This window comes from Homo sapiens, chromosome 9 (assembly GCF_000001405.40).
Source record: "Homo sapiens chromosome 9, GRCh38.p14 Primary Assembly".
Taxonomy (NCBI): Eukaryota; Metazoa; Chordata; class Mammalia; order Primates; family Hominidae; genus Homo; species Homo sapiens.
This window is the reverse complement of record NC_000009.12, coordinates 8,497,059-8,517,218: the sequence shown is the minus strand read 5'-3', so window position 1 is coordinate 8,517,218 and position 20,160 is coordinate 8,497,059. Positions and strand designations below refer to the sequence as shown.

At 34.8% G+C, this 20,160-nt stretch overlaps 1 protein-coding gene across 55 annotated transcripts in view, besides 1 other annotated feature; it reads left to right on the top strand.

The window, feature by feature from the left end:
• Positions 1-20,160, top strand: part of PTPRD (protein tyrosine phosphatase receptor type D) — a 2,298,757-nt gene that overhangs the window by 2,095,784 nt on the left and 182,813 nt on the right. For 30 of the 55 annotated variants that reach the window (NM_002839.4, XM_017014961.3, XM_047423657.1 and 27 more), the window contains 5 exons: positions 9,785-9,918; positions 12,814-12,958; positions 16,160-16,465; positions 17,379-17,572; positions 19,951-19,977. In NM_002839.4, the coding sequence (NP_002830.1) occupies positions 9,785-9,918; positions 12,814-12,958; positions 16,160-16,465; positions 17,379-17,572; positions 19,951-19,977 (806 nt within the window). The remainder of the gene's footprint in view (positions 1-9,784; positions 9,919-12,813; positions 12,959-16,159; positions 16,466-17,378; positions 17,573-19,950; positions 19,978-20,160) is intronic. The other 25 variants (XM_006716827.5, XM_047423649.1, XM_047423651.1 and 22 more) reach the window with 2 other exon arrangements.
• Positions 2,102-2,603: an enhancer, noted in NCBI's record as "NANOG hESC enhancer chr9:8514616-8515117 (GRCh37/hg19 assembly coordinates)". NCBI's record gives its function as "activates a minimal SCP1, AML or CMV promoter by ChIP-STARR-seq in primed H9 embryonic stem cells {active_cell/tissue: H9 hESC(primed)}" and the evidence as "EXISTENCE:reporter gene assay evidence [ECO:0000049][PMID:30033119]".

The following is a 20,160-nucleotide window of genomic DNA, read 5'->3' as shown; positions in this document are numbered from 1 at the left end:
AGTGGTTTTATTTTTCTAAGAGGTTATCAAACCTCTTTGGTCTTTGAGTCAAGGTGATCAGTTTGGCTTTGGGCTAATATAAAATAACAGGCCTCTTCTAAAGTTTATTCTTGAGCCACGCACAGTGGCTCACGCCTGTAATCCCAACACTTTTGGGAGGTAGGTGGATCACTTGAGGGTCAGGACTTTGAGACCAGCCTGGCCAATGGCAAAACCTCATCTCTATTAAAAATACAAAAATTAGCTGGGCATGGTAGCAGGCACCTGTAATTCCTGCTACTCAGGAGGCTGAGGCAGGAGAATCACTTGAACCTGGGAGATGGAGTTTGCAAGTTTGCAGTGAGCTAAGATTGTACCACTACACTCCAGCCTGGGTGACAGCAAGACTCCATCTCAAAAAAAAAAAAAAAAAAAAAAAAAGTTTATTCTTGAGCATCTGAGAGCTACTTCTTTGACTCCTTATTGTGTTGGCATCTTTTAAACCTGCATTAATCTACGAATGTTTTGGCATCATGCTGTTGGCTTGTTTTGAAATCTACATAATAATCATATTATTGGAGACAGTATAATCTGTAGACATAACTCATTGCTAATCCTGGCAATGAATTAATAAATTTTCTCAGATGCCAGTACTAGATAATGTACCTATCATCTATTTCACTGATACCTGTGAATCACTGACTTGTTTTCATGGCATGGTCTTTATATGAAGTATGTTTAACTATTTGTCCTTGCTTCTAGGAATCTCAGAGCACATTTATATTAATAGTTCGCCTGCCTTTATTTTCATACCATTATTTGGTTCTTATTGGCTTGTTCATGGATTTACTCTTTTCTCTATGACATTGTAGGAAAGCCAGCTATAAAAATATGTCTCACCACAGTTGTATTAAAAACTATCCATATATCTTCTCTGTGTGCCATTTGCAGTACTTCTGTATTTATTTGCTGTAGTAATATGCAGAAAAAAAATACTGTAGGCTGTTCTTACCAAAAAAGCTTCTCATTGGGAAATGTAGACATCCGTAAATCTTGTTTTGCTTTTTCTTGACTAAAAGTGGTTAACTATTATGAGATTGCTTTTTATTATACTGTTTTAGCAGCTACATAACAATTAAAAAATTCTAAGAAATTATATGGGAACTTACATTCCACTTTGAGCTTTTTAAATTTCTCAGCTGTGATTATTTTTTCAATCCCTGGTCTTGGAGTAACATAACCAGGGTTTGAAGCCCAAGCTTTCGTTTATTAGCTGTCACCTTAGGTGATTTATGTCATCTCTCTCTGAACTTCAGTTTTCTAGTCTATAATAATAACCACCTTATAGAGTGTAGTGGTTCTATTTGTTTTCTAGTGCTCCTGTAAAAAAGAACCACATACTAGGTGGCTTAAACAACGGGAATCTATTGTCTCACAGTTCTGGGGCCTAGGGAGTCTGAGATCAAGGTGTTGGCAGGATTGGTTCCTTTTGAAGGCTGTGAGGGAAATATACTTAATGCTGCTGCCCTAACTTCTGTTGGTTGGTTTGCTGGCAATCTTTGCTGTACCATGACATGTAGAAGCATCATCTGATCACTACCTTCATCTTTACATTATGTTCTTCCCAAAAGCATGCCTATGCCCAAATTTCCCTTTTCACTAGTACACAGTCATAACGGACTTGGGGTCACTCTTATGGCCTCATCTTAACTAATTCCATTGCAAAGATCCTATATTGAAATAAGGTTATGCTCTGAGGTACTGGGGATGAGGATGTCAACATATGGATTTTTGTGGGATGCAATAAAATTCATAACAGGGTATAGATTAGATAATGGAGGGAAACATTTTGTAACTTAATATGTAAAACATTAAATTATTAATATGTAATCATCATAATAGTAGCTAACATATGGAGGACACTATACTATGAACTTTGCATGTATTTATTCTCACAAACCAATTAGGCAGATGTGGAATTATCCCACTTGCCAATGAGTAAATTGAAGATCAAAGAGGATAAAACGTGATTCAGAAACTTGCCGTAGGTCGTAAGGTTACTAAGTGCAAAAGCAGAATTTAAATCCAGGGATTCTGGATACTTTTAACTGCTGTGTTAGTCCATTTTCACACTGCTATAAAGAGATACCCATGACTGAGTAATTTACAAAGGAAAGAGGTTTAATCGACTCACAATTTCACATGGCTAGGGAGAGTTCAGGAAACTTAGAGTCATGGCAGAAGGTGAAGGGGAAGCAAGGACCTTCTCCACATGGTGGCAGGAGAGAGAAGAGCAAAGGGGGAAGAGCCCCTTATAAAACCATTAGATCTCGTGAGAATTCACTCACTATCACGACAACGGCATAGGAGAAACCACCCCCATTGTTCAATCACCTCCCACCAGGTCCCTTCTTTGACACATGGGGATTACAGTTTGAGAAGAGATTTGGGTGGGGACGCAGAGCCTAATCATTATCAACTACCATTACCTTTTAAATTAATAATTTGCTTAATGTGATAGTTTTTGTGTTTTTATGCCAGTGTAGGTATTCAATAATGAAAAGAGGCAAGAGAGAAAAACGCAATTGTTTCATTTATTCATATATTTATCTAAGAATTATACATAACTTACTTCTGAAACACTGAGGTAGCTATTAGATTATTCCAGTGCAGAAGTACATGAAAACATTTAGAAATGGAAAAAAAAAAAAAAACTAAGTTTATCTAAAAGAAGTGGAAGGAAGAACATTTTTATGAAAGATCGTTACACTCAAGCAGTAAATCTGGCTGAAATTTAACTAAATTTAAATAAATTTGGCTCTAAGTTTTATAAGCACCAGTTTAAACATAGAAATCTATAGTGTTTCATATTTTTATTTTCTGATGGTAGGAAGATTATCTGAGAAACAAAATTTTTCCTAAACCTAATCCAACCAAAATGTGAATCTTAGACAATTGTGAGAATCCTTGTATTTAGAATGCTAAATGAAAAACCCTGATGCCTTCAGTCGTAATCTATTGAAAAATATAGAAGTAATGTTGAAGTAGACAGACCATATCTTTATTTTTTTATATGACCAGTGGACAGAATATGACATTGAATCATAACTCAGTGAAGGTAGCATTATCAGAGGGGCAACTGAGTTACTGTGAGCTGGGGACTCTACTTTCAAAAGCTCTGATTTAATTTAATGACAGAACTCAGAAAATCTAGATGAATGGGACATGGATATATTAGAATAGTTATTCCCACTCTGTTTAACTGACTTTTTTGCATGAAGATGTTTCCAAGAATCTTCCATAATAGTTTTACTTTTAATACATGTTGATTGAGAAGATATATAGTGATGTAATGACTGCCTGCCAAGCTCAATAAGCTAAGAAAACCTTCCAAAATAGCACAATGATTTGATCTGTTCTATAGGCTTAATTAAAAAGGCCAGTGGATATTAGTGGACACCTACCAAAAACAATGATGTTTGTTCTGATGTAATTAATGCCGAGCTGCTCCTTAAGAAAAAGGAGTAACAAGAAAGTTACTGACTAAAGAATTCTTAGGATGATTGCTAGGACGATAACCATTATGAGATATAAAATTTAAGGATATGATTATTTTCACTGCAATTTTTCTCCTCTAACCCTATAAAAATTTACTGATCAATAATATGTAGGAATTGAAGTACATTTTAAATACAAATACACAGAAATGTACATTTTGATGTCTTCTGTGTCTAAAAGGTACTCATTTAATTTTATTATCTTTCATTCTGTGACATTCACATTCCTGTTTTTGTTTGAAACCGGATTCCAAAAGAACAGTATTTAGGATCAAAGTGAGTTTAAGAGAGAAGTCTCACTTTTGATTTGATCTAATATGAGTCACACAGATGGACATAAGTGAAGGATTGATGTAAATTTGTGTATTTCTGGTAATACAGAAAATGAGAATATGATCTGTCTGTTTTACAGTCAGAGAGTTTTTCTCCTTGATTGTGAACATTAGTACAGTTGACCGTGTTGAGTAATCTTTAAATGGTTTTAAATATGAAAAGACTTTCATTGAGATGATTATTTTCTGAAATATGGGTCAATCTTCTCAGTTCTCCATAGCTCTAACTTCTGGCATTACAAAGTCACTTGCAACTAGTTTACCTTGAAAATATGGGGAATATATGGCCATTGACAAGGAAAGTATTTATATTAAGCTAGAAAAATATTTTCATTATTAGAAAACACATTCAGGAAGGAAAAAAGGACCTCCTATAGTTTTCTTGTAAAGGTAATTGTACCAAAAGCATAGGGTAACTATATTTTATAGAAGAAGTAGAAATAAAACTCTGACAAAGAAGTAGTAAGTTAAATCTCAAACCTAATGCATTAAATGTTGCTTGATGTTCATGCTAATTAGAGGCATTATAAATCTTAAATCCTAATATGTGTCTTTTTTCTGAACTGTATTTAGAAAGCATGTCTGACCTCTAATTACATCTATTCATTTAATAGATTCTTGAAAATCATCTGACTTATATGGATATACCTTTAACAGTATATGCCTTCAAAAGATAAAGAATTATATATATTTATCAAATACTAATGACTAGTATCAACTTTAAACATTTTAGGGATGTTAATGCTATTACAAATTCTGGGCATTGCAAAAGTGTTAAAATATAAGCTATGACATTGAGAGACAAAGTCTGTTAGGTTTCCAGAAGTTTATAAATCATTTCATTAGTGTATGTCAACAGGCCTATACAAGCAAACTAGAAAAAGACTGCTTTCTAATAACCAAAGTTATGAGTCCAATTTAAATGCTTTTTCTGAATAGATTTAGCAATGAGTAAAGGAGCACTGGATATAAATACAACTATAATAAAATTTAACTTTTTCTCATTTATATTTAATGACTGTTGAGAATAAGATTTGTGCTGATGCTTGTGTATTAAGTACTTATTTTGTCAATGATATATTTGTGGCATTTACACATCAGACTCTTTGTTTTGAATTTTGCTTTGTTTTACTACCGTTATAATTCTGGCTGTCGGTTTTATTGTCATTATCATTTATCAATATGCTAGATACACACATTTTAAAACATGTACCTTAATAAAATACTGGATATTTTAGCAATCATGGGTTTTCTAGTATCTTTGGTCATATTTCATATTTATACTATAGCAAGATGAAACTGTTGTTTAGCAGTGCAATATGTGTCAACCTTTCTTTAGAGATAATCTCTACATTTTATTCAAATATTAATCTCTTCTAATATATCAGCATCTGATAATGTGAAGGTTTCTCTTGTTAGTCTTTTTCATCCCTTGTCTTGGAGTTGCTTTCACATATTTATATAGAGTGTAATTATAGTAATACTCAAGTACTTAACATGTATCAGTAGGATTATGATCTCATTTTAGGGACTCGATAGCTCACATTTCTATTTCCTTGTGGACATTAAGTAAGTAATCAAGAGGGCGGACATACTTTTACAGTATATAATGACTTCTTAAATATAATATTAAAGAAAAATTTTTGCTTCTTTTATTTTTGCTTTCCATGTCCTATTGTAAATCTGGTTTATGGTCAATATCATATCTCTCCTTTGAATATGAAGTAACTGCTTAAAGGTCTGGATATGTTGTTTTTATTTGCCCATGATTTTCCCAGAATCTCACATTTTCTTATAAAATTTATGTTCAGTTAATCAGTGAAGGAAATGTTACAACACAGAAAAACTCTTGAATAAAATAAAAATAAAATAAGATATACATAGACAAAGGACTGGTAAGTGAAGGTTAAAAAAAAAAATACCAGTGAGAAACCGTGATGTGTAGTGATTACAAGAGCATAAAATATCTGTGTGTAAGAAGGCGAGGCACAGTGGCTCACACCCATACTCTCAGTGCTTTGAGTGGTCGAGGTGGAAGGATTTCTTGAGCCCAGGAAGTTCAGACAACCTGGTGCAACATATTGAGACCCTGTCTGTACAAAAAACATTAAAAAATTAGCCGGGTGTTATGGCACACACCTGTACTCTCAGCTACTCAGGGGGCTGAGGTGGAAGGAGCACTTGAGACCTGGAGGTCAAAGCTGTAGTGAACCATGATTGTGCCATTGCACTCCAGCCTGGGTGATAGAGTAAGACCTTGTCTCAAAACTAAATAAATATATAAATAAAATGTAGGTAAATATTTACGTTTATACATTTATATGTATAAATACATATATAGAGAGAAAACATTAATAGAAATGTGAAATGGAACCTCTGTAGACCCAATATTTGGTATAAAAATTCAATAGACAGATAATGAAAGTAGTCCCATGTCTCAAGTGTTCCAGAGAAAACAAAGTGTTTTCTTATATACATATATTATGCTCATTAGGACCAATATGTTGGGAATTTAAAAATACATTCATTTTATACCTTATTTAAAAAAATTCCTTTGTGTCCTCAGCTTCATGGTTGTGGATTCAAATATGACAAAATGCCCTGAGGAAGTGATATCGTTAGGTACACCCTCAGTTCCCGAGGAAGTGTGGGTAGTGCACTCTTAAGCCATTGATGAGCCTGGAGCCTGAGATCATGAAAGTTTATTTCATGGCCCATATGCTGAATCTAGCCTGTAGACACATTTTGCCCCATACAGTGCTTTTAAAATTCAATTAATTTTTAGTAATTAAGAATGGAAAGGTTTTACCTGGAAGGTTCATGATCAACTTCTGTGAAGGAAATCGGAAGCTGGGACAAGAGTGCGCCCACATTTCACAAGGCAGCAACCTGCTGTCACTGAGCATGGCCTGCGGTCCCTCTTCAGGTGGTGGGCACTCTCCACCGGGCCCCAGGCCCCATATGGCCTTCTCACTCATCTAAATTACCTGACACCTCTGAGCATTTGTATTCGCACCACATGTTTATTTTATATATTATTATTTATTTATTTATTTTTAGAGACAGGGTCTCACTCTGTCATCCAGGGTGGTGTGCAGTGGCTCAGTCATCGTTCACTGTAGCCTCACGCTCCTGGACTCAAGTGATCCTCTCACCTCAGCCTCCCAAGCAGCTGGGACTACAGGCATGCTCCACCATGCCCAGCTGATTTTTTTAAGTTTTATTATTTTGTAGAGACAGGGTTTTGCTATGTTGCCTGGGCTGGTCTCGAACCCCTGACTTCAAGCCATCCTCCCAACTTGGCCTCCCAAAGTGCTGGGGTTACAGATGTGAGTTACCATGCCTAAGCCTGAACCACAAGTTTAAAATCTAATAAATGAAGTTAACCTCCGAACCATTTCAAAAGAAGGATAAGGAAAGAACAGGAGAGAACCCCCTGTACATTAGATGAAGACACTTTGCATCAAGTCGTCTAGCCAACCTTTAGCTTTGTGCAAGAATAAAAAGGACAGTGTACTCTCTGAGACTTGGATGTGCCTACTTAAGTCATTATTTAGAAGGAAGGGGCTCTTAATAGAAACAAGCAGAATTAGATGATCAGACAAAGCTTGTGTCACTAAACAAGAATGAAATATTGAGACCAACCGGGAATTTACTCAAGACAAATTAAAAGCAAAAAGTAAACAGTTTAAGTAAGAAAAAGTTAATTAGGTTTCCAAGATGTTTTCAATCAATGTCAATTTATTATTAGCATTAGGCAGGGAAGAAATGCGTAACAAGCAATTATTATCCCGAGAGCAGCCCTTCAGTGTTGTCTGTGTTTCTAATTCTTGACCATACTGTAGTCCGGTTTGGTTTGAGTCAGGAGTTAACACAAACTTTCTTGTTTCCCAGGAAATTGGGAGAAAGAAAGAAGCAAATAAAACTAGGAAAAAAATCAGTGACTGCATACATAGGCATATGTGTGCATTTTTAGCCTGAGAAACCCTTTTATCATGTGAATATTAGGTTAGGTCCTATCATAATTTTCCCATCTATCTGGTCACTCTTGTTTCCATTATTGCTCCTGCCAGTGCTTTTGGTATTTCCCTTTTAGAAATAATGCATTTTCCATTTGCTTTGCAGTTTGCCTATTTGTGTTTTGTTCCCCTCTGTCCCTCTGCCTCTTGCTTCTCAATCTTTTATCTTCTTTCGCTTCCACCTTTCAATCTAAATGATTGTGTTAGGTCACCCACTGGGCAGGTACTGGGGAAAAAAATGTGATACTCTGTTCAGAAGGTAAGCTCCCAGAGGCATCAAATCAATGAGACTCTCAAGGCCTGTGATTTTTAAAAAGAGAGAGAGAAAAGATGATGAAGGCAACTAGAAATATGAAGCACTGATTATTTGTGACCTTAAGCATCAGTCCAAACATATATTCCTTTACACACACACACACACACACACACACACACACACAGACACACACACACACATATATATACACAGGCTGACTTACCAGAGGAATAAAATTATCATTAGGAATTCTACAAATCATTCTTGCAGACTGCTTTAACAAAGGGCATTTTTTAAAGCCATAGTACACAGACATAACTATAAAAGAAAAGGAAAGCAATACATTTTCTCCAAAGGCTTCTTTTGAACTACAAATTATACTGTATTATATGTATTTTTAAATATTTTTGCTGAGGTTGCCACTTTAGATGTTTTAAAGCACACTTTAGATGTTTTTTTACTCCTCTGCTATGAAGTATTATTGTTCTCTTTTTTTCTTTAAATATAAATGGAATTCTTATTTAAACTTGAGGGAATATGAACATATGTTCAGCCACAGCACATTGAGACATGCCATAATATCAAGGGTAATGATCAAAATGTTTTACAATTGGGAAAGCATAGGCACTCACCAATCAGAGCAGACAGTGGCCAAGAACAATGTACGATTAGATGTGCCAGCGACACCCTGACTCAGCCTTGTGTATAATGGATAGAGGGGAACTGATAGGCTTAGGTGTGGACTAGAAAGTTTAGGTTACTAATTATTCTAGTTCATTTGAGTAAGGTGTTTTAAACTGAATAGACTTTCCATTCTTTGTTACAGCTGATAAACAGCTCTTCCAAATTGTCTGTTGAATAGATGACATGGCTAACATGAGAATTATAGATGATCTCTTTAAGTTACCATATTTCTGATAAGTGTATCCTATAAACTTCTTAATTTTTGTAGTAGTTTAGCTTTGTGGCACTAGAGAGGATATTTTGTTTGTATTAGGTGTAGTTCTTTAAATAATTTAACATAGTTTAGAGATTAGAAGTCATTATTTGTAAGTGATAGAGTTTTGTTTTGTTTTGTTTTTCCTTTCTTACACCTCTTCTTCAAAATGTGGGCTGGTAAGAAAAAATGCTGAGTGATTCTGTTTGCCTGTTAGGTTTTGTTATTGGCGTAAAGGTAGGATTTCATAAATTTAATTGGAAATAATTTTGAATGTTACATGTAGTGCTAGAGAGTAAGTTCCTACTCAGTTGTAAATAACAATACTTTTAGGTATTTTGTACTTATTATGCTTTTGGCAATATTTCAAGTGCTTTATGTAAATTATATTATTTATTACTAACAACCATATCATGAAGTAAAGAATTTTTTCCTTAAAATTGAATTCAGAGGCCGATATACTTTATACTTATTAGTTCTACTATATCTTGTGTAGATGTTCTACTACTCCAGAGCAGGATTTATAACATTGTACTTGCCCTGTACACAAAGAGGTTAACTTGGACAAGGTAAAGGAGCTTGTTTTCCACTAAGCTGGTACATGTGTACAGATTTCGAAAGGTTTAAGCAGGTTACGCTAATGGAAGAACTTTGTGAATACTCCTGGTGATTGTGAGTTCAATCCATTGCCTCCCTGTTTTTAGTACCAGGGCAGCCACTAAACTTCAAAGCAGAACCTGAGTCTGAAACAAGTATTTTGCTCTCTTGGACACCTCCACGTTCAGATACCATTGCCAACTATGAACTGGTCTACAAAGATGGGGAGCATGGAGAGGAGGTAAGACTATAGTGCTTCTCACCTTGGGAATTATTCATTACGTGGGGCCACTTTTTTATTTTTGTGTATTTATCCACATTCTTGGTCAGAGAGCTATTGAGGACCTTGATGGAAAAGATTTACTAATTAAAAGAGGAACTTGACTCCCCCTCCCCCCCAAGAAAAACCCCAAAACAACAACAATGACAAAAAACAGTGGTTATTTGGAGGCTTTGGGGAAAAACAAAACAAAATAACTCTTGTTCCTGTTGGAATGTGCTTCTGACAGAGTTCCAAGTTCCATAGATGTATCAGGTTATGGAAGAATAAATACTCAATGAGACTTGAGGACTTTCTCTTCTTCATGAAAGTATTTAAGTCACTGTGGGGACAGGTGACTAAATTAGCTCTATATGTTAATGAAAGTCCTTGGCTAGATGAATTTTTCCACCCTGGTTTCAAAGATTCCCCAATAGCAAATGTTTGTTTGCTAAAAAGTATTTGGTATGAAGGTGAGTGTGTATAACATTTGAGTATGCTGTGCAAATGAAATAACAGATTGTAGAAGGCATGGCAATTGTTGATCGTCACTGAAAAGAGAAATGAAAATCAATATAATTAACTCATTAATGGGCACTGTTCTAAGGGTTTCACCATCAATAATGCATGTAATTTTTATAGTAGCACTGGAGCTAGCCTTTCTTATTAATCGATTTGACGTATAATAAAATGGAGGCATGGAAAAAAAGTTAAATAATTTGCTCAAAGTCTCGCACTAGTGGATGGCAGAGCTGGGATTTGAGTCTAGGCAGTCGAGTTCCAGAGTCTGTGTTGTTAACGGTTAGGGTCTACTGCTTCTTGAGTGCAGTTTGAATACATGATAGAAATCGATATTAAGATACATCTAACATTTTCAGAATGAGAATACATAATAGTAGTAAGTATGTTTCTTTTATTATTGTTAAATCCAATGGGGAACATTAGGACAAAAGGAGTTAATGGCACTGTGTTTGAGAACTTCACACATATATTCATTTTATTATGCCTCTTAGCATTTTTTATCTGAAAAAAAAATCTTCACAAAGTGAAACAGTCCCTGTGTTCTAATAAAGAATATCTTTTAAAAAACTCACATGCTAAATGAACTACTCTCAATTAACTTGTAGTACATAATTTTGGATGTTATAATAAATTAATATGTTCTTGTAAACTTCTGTTTTATTCCATCTGTTTGAATTGAGCAGAATCTCAAAAGAATAGGTTTTAAATGCAGTGGTTTTAGATTTAGCTAACAAAGCCAATATAAATCAAGCACTCAAAAAGTTATATAGTTGAAATGCAGATATGACTTAAAGTTTTCATGGTACAACTTGAGCTATTGGTGTTTTCTGTAAGGTGTAAATCAGCACTGAATTGTTTAAACCTTCATCACGACCACCAAACTAAAATACAGGCATACATAGACACAAACATACATATATACAAAGAGTAAAGGAGAATTGTGATGCTTAAATGTTGGCATAGCTACTGTGCTCCACAATTGCTTATTTAGGGAATTTCTTTATTTCTTACTTGGTGGATCTAAAATTCCTGAAAACTTTTGTATTTGTAAGTCAGAACACCCTAGGGATGGTTTCTCTAGTTTTATATTTGAATTTTTCTTCTTCTTCTTCTTCTTTTTTTTTTTTTTTTTTTTTGAGACAGAGTCTCCTCACTCTGTCGCCTAGACTGGAGTGCAGTGGCGCGATCTCTGCTCACTGCAAGCTCTGCCTCCTGGGTTCACGCCATCCTCCTGCCTCAGCCTCCCAAGTAGCTGGGACCACAGGCGCCCACCACCACACCCGGCTAATTTTTTGTATTTTTAGGAGAGATGGGATTTCACCATGTTAGCCAGGATGGTCTCGATCTCCTGACCTCATGTTCCGCCCGCCTTGGCCTCCCAAAGTGGTGGGATTACAGGCGTGAGCCACCGTGCCCGGCCTTGAATTCTTCTTAACTGATTTGTTTGTGTGAATAGCAAACACTATTTGATAAAGTGTTAAGATTACACACACCATTACTAGATTATGTATTCACTTGCATTTTAAGGTTTACTGCAGGCTGATGTTCAAGATTGATTACCCATAGACACTTATATTTTTGCTAAATGACAAATTTTAAGCACGGAAGGTGAGAGTTATAGCATTTGATTAACGAAATCGTATATCAAAAGTCCACAAACATTTGTGAATCTATTTTTTTTCTGGCTGTGGGTTCTTTATTCACAAAGAAAGTAAGGTTTTCAGTTATTTTAGATCAACCTAGGGTAGTAATGTGGTTTCAGATAAATTATTCAACTTTCTTTAGTGACTAACGTGATATTTTACCCATTAAAACTTGGCAATTTCAAATCTCTTTTATAGCAACCTCCTGTAAATTGTATACTGGTTACTGTTGCTACTTCTGGTCATGTTTTCTTTGCCTCCAATTGAGATTTCAGAAGGTCATGGGAGATGAGTAGACATCTGTTCAATTAAAATTGCACATGTTGGGCAGATTCCACTACCAGGGGCAGGTGTCATTTTCTATTGTGATCTGTGTCACAGCAACATACACACATTTAACGGCAGAACATACTCATGGGTGTTGGCCTCTCAATCTTCGTCTTATCTGATGTATTTGGCTGACTGTGTCAACATTAAAAAGATCTCTGACTTCCCTTATTCCAGTTACCTTTGTAGAAACTTGCCTTTTAAACTGATATTTTCATTATATAATTTCCTTAGTATAGCCCTGGATACTCACTATTGACTCTTTTGGTGATATTTTGATGAGATTATAATCCTGATGATAGAAATCTGATGGTCCAGACAGTATGATTAAAAAGTATTTGCATGAACCTTAATGAAGATGACCACATTCTCTTATTGCTTCCAGCAACGAATTACCATTGAGCCAGGGACATCATATAGGCTGCAAGGACTGAAACCAAACAGCTTATACTATTTCCGTCTGGCTGCACGCTCCCCTCAAGGCCTGGGTGCTTCTACTGCAGAAATATCAGCTAGAACCATGCAGTCAAGTAGGTGTCTCTCTTTGCTTACTTTCTGCCTTTTTATTTCCTCGGGGAGATGTTGCTAGCTTTCACCTTCACCAATAAGCAAACCTGCTAATATGCTTAATAGTTAGTCTCTAGGTTAGTATGCATCACACTTCACAGGTGAAAGTGTAACTGTGACTTCTTTTGGTCTCATCACTTGATCCAAATAACAGATCCCACCTTCCCACTTCCTACACTGAAAGACTTTTAAAGAAGGTAGTAGACGTCCATGGGTGAAATGTGGGTTAAAGGAGTTAGATCAAGCCCTGTTTAATGAATTACAAGTCTTTAAAGCAAAATTCACATTGAGAACCCTGTAAAATAATCATAGGAGGGCTTCGCAAATGAAAGAGGCTGCAAAAGACAAAAAAAAACTTTATTTTTTTAAGCACACAGGCTTTAGCTTTGCAATCAAACAAGTCCTTATTTCATGTATTTGTTTCTACTAAGAAAAGCTCAGCTCTGATGACTTGTTTCTTATTAACTCTGTGTGTAGTACCTGTGGAAATTTGGAACATTGACAGAAAATCTGTATGTGGACAAATTAAGAAACAATGGAATAATCGCAAACATATTTGCAATTCTAAATTGTATTTTGTTTCCTGGGGTTCAATTTCTTTTTGGAGCTGTTACCCTTAAGCATAGCTGTGTTTATCACAATGGGGGTTAATTGTTCCCAGGGCAGATTGTTTTGCATAAAGTATTATACAGGATTTTGTTTTTGGTGGAAAGTTTGGTGGCTTATTATTATTAATTGCTTTTTATTAGTATGTGTTTACAGTTCATTCATAAAAAATACTATTTACCTTGAATTGAAGAGTTTTGTTGAGTTATTTTCTTAGATTTCTTTGTGTGATATTTTGTCTTTACTTTTTGACATAGTGAATTATACAATAGATATCTGTAGTAGAAATACATTGAATTTTGTCAAGAAGATGCTCTGTTAACCTCATATTTAGACCTATCAGCAAACATGAAATTTGTGATTTAAAAGATTCATTTCCTTCCATACAAATAAGCAAGTTTTCCACCATTTCATTTTCTATAGAAACTTGAAAACTTTCAGGGTTTTTTGATAATAAAATTTATGTTTTTCCCTCTTTAAAGCATGATTATTCACATGAAAATGATTAGGATCATGTTTAATCTATTAGTGATTATCGTTTATTCCCATAAAATTTTCTTTCATTTAAAGGCGTAAGCATGTAAATTAATGCGTTCTCTGTATGTCTGCTTTGAATTCCAGGCAGGCTAATAAATAGTATTGTAGAAGATAATTTCTAAAAACCAAGCCTTTAATTAAGAGAAATGTTACATGCTTCAATATTATATTTCCCATGGTTTACAAACCTCAGTTTTTAACATATGTGTGTGTGTGTATATATATATATATACACACACACATACATATTGAATAGACTTTTTATAAGCACATCAAACACTTATCTATTCCTTATTTTATTAAAGTAAAATTTTCAAATGGTGTTGAATATATTCTCACAAAATAGGAGGTCTGAAGATAGCCCTAGTGAAAACCAAATCAGCTTTTTAAAAAGAATTACAGATGAGTCCTTGCTGTTACATGAACAACTCAATTTATTATGAATAATGATAATGCATGTAAAATAGTTTTATAATTTGAGATATAAGAACCCCTAGTCAGAATCAATAAAAATGAGATTCTAGTGGTTTTGCAAATCTTATTCCAAATTTACAAGGCTGTCCTATGAGGATTTCTTTTTTGTCAGTACAGAGAGCTTTTATTTTGATGGACTGTAATAATGAACACAAGGCACGTACATTAAGAAAGACTGATAATCCCCTGAACAATTGGATACACCTGGCACTCCGTAATGTTAAGAGTCACAAAGTCTAGGGAAATCCCCAGACTACACATTCAAATATGAAATATAGGATTGCTTTATTCAGTCTACCATATACATTGCTTTAAAAATATATGCGTGTGTGTATGGACTTGTGTTATCTTTGCCCACTTGTTTGTTTTTCTTTAGGAACATAATATTATTAAGTTTTAAATAATGATAGTAATTGTGCTGTCTTTTATTGATTTTTAATTTTTTAAAATCATAATGCTTGGTTAATTTGATGGAAAATGATTGCTCAGAAAGTGACTAGTTTAATTTAGAATGGGCAGTAAGAAAGTATGTCTTCTAATTCTAATATAAACCCTACATTGTATGAATAATTATGTACAAAATGAAAGAAATTTTGCACAGAAATTATATCTTTTCCAGTTGATACTTGGGTTTTTAAAAAAACAGTTCTTTTTAATGGCTGTGTTATTGACATTTTGTAAGGGATAAATGATTATTATTGATTTTACCAAATTTTGCTGGTGGGGTCTAATTCTTCACTAGCAATGGTGTCTCAAGAAGAGTTATAATTAAAAAGCTGAAAGCTGACGTAGGGTAAGTACAAGTTACAGTCAGAATCAACAATCCTGACATTACCCTCGGGTAGGTAAATCTTGGACTCTGCATTTTCATCCTTTATTGATTCTGCATGCTCACTGTATATGGGCTATGATCAATGTTAACATTTTTTTTATTATTAAAACTGGTCAGGCAAACTCAGTTTTTCAGATAGAGTGAACCCTCTTATGTTTGTTGTTTATTTATTTTTAATTGGAACTGGTAGAAGGGCATTAGCAGTTATTGCAACTTTTCACACTTAAGAAGCCTTTCACAAATGAGTACTGTATGTAAACCATCCTCATTCTAGAATATAGAAGTGAAAGCTTGGAAACATCTGTGAGGCATCATCAGACCCTCAAGTAAATACTAGCACTATTTGCAGCTTTTTTGAAGCTGGGTAGTCAGTATAGTGGGGGTGGGAGATACTGAGGGATTGGTTTAGAAGAATTTTTATCGCAGGTAGGTAATTTTATTTGAGGCTCCATTATCTCGAGGTCTCATTTTCACATATTCCCCCTACCCATTATTTAACAATTATTTTTGGTCATTAATTCTCTTTTTGGTTTATTCATATTACTAAGCCAAGGTACATAATTTGTCATTAGAATTTAAGTTTCAAAGCCTTATTTTCATTTTGTCCTTATTGTTCGTTTATTTATTTTTGCCTTTTCTTTTGTTTTATCATTTTTTTTTTCAACCACTCCTGTCCTTTCACTTAAATCCTCCTTTAACTCACTACCAAAATAAGAGCCGTCAGCTCCTCCTCAAGACATTAGTTGCACCAGCCCAAGTTCCACTAGTATTTTGGTAAGTTGGCAACCTCCACCAGTGGAAAAACAGAATGGCATTATCACTGAATACTCCATCAAGTACACTGCAGTGGATGGGGAAGATGACAAGCCTCACGAGATTTTGGGAATTCCTTCGGACACTACCAAATACCTTTTGGAACAGCTGGAAAAATGGACTGAATACCGGATCACTGTGACAGCCCATACAGATGTCGGCCCTGGCCCTGAGAGCTTGTCCGTGTTGATTCGAACCAATGAAGATGGTATGTTGCCTCCGCTACGTCAGTTTGCACCCTTCTGACACAGTCTTGATCTGCTGTCTTTCAATAGGCTCACAGTAATCTTTTTTCTCTGCTCATCTTTTTACCCAGCATTGCTGTTACTTTAGTATTTTTGCCAAAGACTTGTCTTTGCTACAGCCTGGCCTTTTTTTTTTTTTTTTTTTTTTTTTTTTTTTTCATTTTTTTCAATCTCAATGCAGTAATTTGCTTCTCTTTAAAAGAACTGTTGGCTCCTATGGTCTTGCAGTCCAGCCCGTCTCTGTGCCTCCATCTAAAGTCTTCTGTGTTTTTCTTGGCTTTTTGTAGTCACTTCTTTTACATTTTGAAGTTAACTTTTCAAAACTACCTTCTTACCTTTTTGTTGCCTTTTTGTCTTACATATTTCAGAGACATTGATGCTCAACATTGAATTTTTGGCATCTTTTGTATGGAATAACTTTGATATGAGAAAAAAAGAGAAGATAATACATATAATCAAGAATCTTTTTATTCTGCCGTTTAAAAAGAAACCTTTAAAAAACACACAACAATCAACAGCCAGTTTTTGTTATTATTTCAATGCTATACCTCTTTGTGCTTTAATGCTTTGAACCTCAAAGCATCTTCCTTGGCTTTTGTACATTTTTTACATGTTTTTCTATTTCTCTGATACTCTTTTTTTCTTCCATTTTTTTTTTTTTTTTTTGCATCGGTCATGTTTTTTGATCTTTTCTTAAAAGGTAGAGCAGATTGGTTAAGCATTTTCATTGGTTGAAAATGTTTGTATTCTTCAAAGAAAACATAGTGGGTTTACCCATTTTTTGAAAGAGAAACCTAAGTAAAGAAAATGCAGAAAATGCTCTGATAGGGTGGGACAAGTGCCTATAATTTCTTTTATCCAATGATGTTGTTCCAGTTCCTAGTGGTCCTCCTCGCAAAGTCGAGGTAGAGGCTGTCAACTCAACATCTGTTAAAGTCTCATGGCGCTCACCCGTGCCCAATAAACAGCATGGCCAGATAAGAGGATATCAGGTGCATTATGTGAGGATGGAAAATGGTGAGCCCAAGGGCCAGCCCATGCTGAAAGATGTCATGCTGGCTGATGCACAGGTAAGCCTCTGAAATTATGTACCTCTGTTTTTATATAATAAGTTTATCTTAGTTCATATCCTGAAATTGCTCTTATTTTAGTTTTTCGACATTTAAAAAATCCTATACAAAATTCTAGTTTTCATTTCACATTGATGTATATTGATCTTTTCAATCAGAGTTACTATCAAGTGAGGAAGGGAATTGTAATGAAATGACACTCAAGTCTGATTAAAAACATGTTACTTTTTCCTTAAAATACAGATATTCAACCCTTTACAACCATATTTGAGTTTGCCTTTCTGACTTCAAAAAATGATTGACTTAGTTGAGTCAAAGGGAAGATTTCTAAACTGCAATTTTGCTGATGGAGTCTACTTTCTTCTGTGCTAAAACAACTTGCAACTTAGTTGTTCTAATTTCTAAATGTGTGTCTTCTTCCACTGAAGAATAGACATTTTTATTCAGGGACAGGTACTCAGTATTATATTTAGTACTTCTTCATCAAATTACATATTTGATGAAACTCATTGTTTCATGTCCCAGCAAATGAAGATCGTTACAATGATATTAAAAATTAAATCAGAATTTCCTAGCAAATAAGTGGGATCCTTACGTTGAACCAAGGTTTAAAAAAAAGGTACTAAAAATGAGTAGTTGAGTATGTGAGAAATTGTATTGATCTTAGGGCAGTGGTTTGCAACTATGGTATCACAACCCGGTTTTATAATTAGTTGTTTAAAACAGAGCATTGAAAATTTCCAAAATTTTTCATAAATTAGAGGTGATTCAAAGATAGTCCCATAATAAATTCGCTTGAGTTTTACATATTTTCCTGAAAGGAAGATGAAGATTTCATCTTGTAACCACCATGCTGAAAATTGTACATGACTCATGTACTGGCTTACCTTTGCTGTGTCAAATGGTGATGAGATGTCATGGGGATAGGATATTATGATCATTGGAATACTTTCATTATCCAAGAAATTGGTGACTTGGCAGGGAAAAGGATGGAGTTTGTAAAAACATTTGAAATTTATTTCAAATGAAAATGCGTTTCTTTGTGTGAAAGTTGGAAAGGTTATGAAGCAAGTTGAAAACTGCGGCACCAGGTTGCCCAGTTCTACGTTCTCGTCTGTAAAGGCGGACGGATCCCCTGGTCAAGAGATCGAGACCATCCTGCTCAACATGGTGAAACCCCATCTCTACTAAAAATACAAAAATTAGCCAGGCGTGGCGGCACACGCCTGTGTGGTCCCAGCTACTAGGGAGGCTGAGGCAGGAGAATTACTTGAACCCAGGAGGTGGAGTTTGCAGTGAGCCAAGATCGCACCACTGCACTCCAGCCTGGCAACAGAGGAAGATTGCATCTCAAAAAATAAAATTAAAAAAATAAAAAAATAAGACAGCAATAAATATCCCTGTGCCTCTAAGGAAAGTACTTACCCCCAAAGTCTTAATACAAGTCAACTCTCAGAAGTCTTTATGTTTTCTTCAGTTTTGAAACATTCTAAGTAAAGGGATCTGGATTCATTGCTCACTTATCTACCCCGAGGCCACTTCTGTAAATGCAGTAGTGCTTCGTAATACCCCTTCAACACTGGAAAGGGGCCATTGACTTGATTTGTATAAATAATTATTATGTAGTGCCTATAAAAAGAAAGTTATCGTAGTATAAAATTAAAGCCATCATTGCTACGTTTTATCTTGTAAGTCTACAATTATGGAAAAGAAAACAATATGACCAGTGTGCTTTGGTGTTCTCCTTTGGTTCTTAGATATTTTACATTACAGAACTGTAATTCTCTCCCTAGTTCCATTGCAAAATATGGTAGTTAACGAAATTATATAATACCAAATGCATTAAATGTGAACTCTGTCTTTTTTTCTCTTCTTCTTTGGCTTTTCTTTATTAATTGCTGTTTTTCCTTGTGTATTTTCTTTCTTTCCCATCTCATTTACTTTCCTTGACTCTTCACTGAAATTTCATTACATCTCACAGGACTTCATTGAAGTTATAAGTGTCAAATATAATGAAAGATATTAATCTAAATAGTGACTTTTAATTGTGTAACTTAAGATAGAAGTCAAAATAAATACGAGTAGGATATGATTAGAAACATTAACTTTTTCTGTGCCTCATTGCTATGTTTCAGTGAACCATACATTTAAAGAATGTTAGCTGGTTTTAGTGATAACAGTAACAAAGGATATTTAATTTGACTTCCCAATCAGAGGTGGAGGTGGCAGCAAATCACACATTCTTTGGAATTTTATTGTACACACTGCTTTATTTTTTTGATTTTTTTAATCTAACAAGGGCAACACTGCCTGTATAAGGCTTTAAATTCTTTTTCTTTTTATTTTGTTTTCCTCCCAACCTTCTTATTCTCAATCAGTGGGAATTTGATGATACTACTGAACATGTGAGTAATTTTTGACTGTTTTGTCAAAAGCAGACTATATATGCTTGTTTTCTCTGACATCCTTTCACTTATTTGTGATCTGTCATCACAGTTTGCTTGGATGCATGAACTAACAAATTATTTTTAAGTTATCTTCACTGTGTGGTGCACTTTTTATTTTGGTTTTTGTTTTGTGAAATCAGC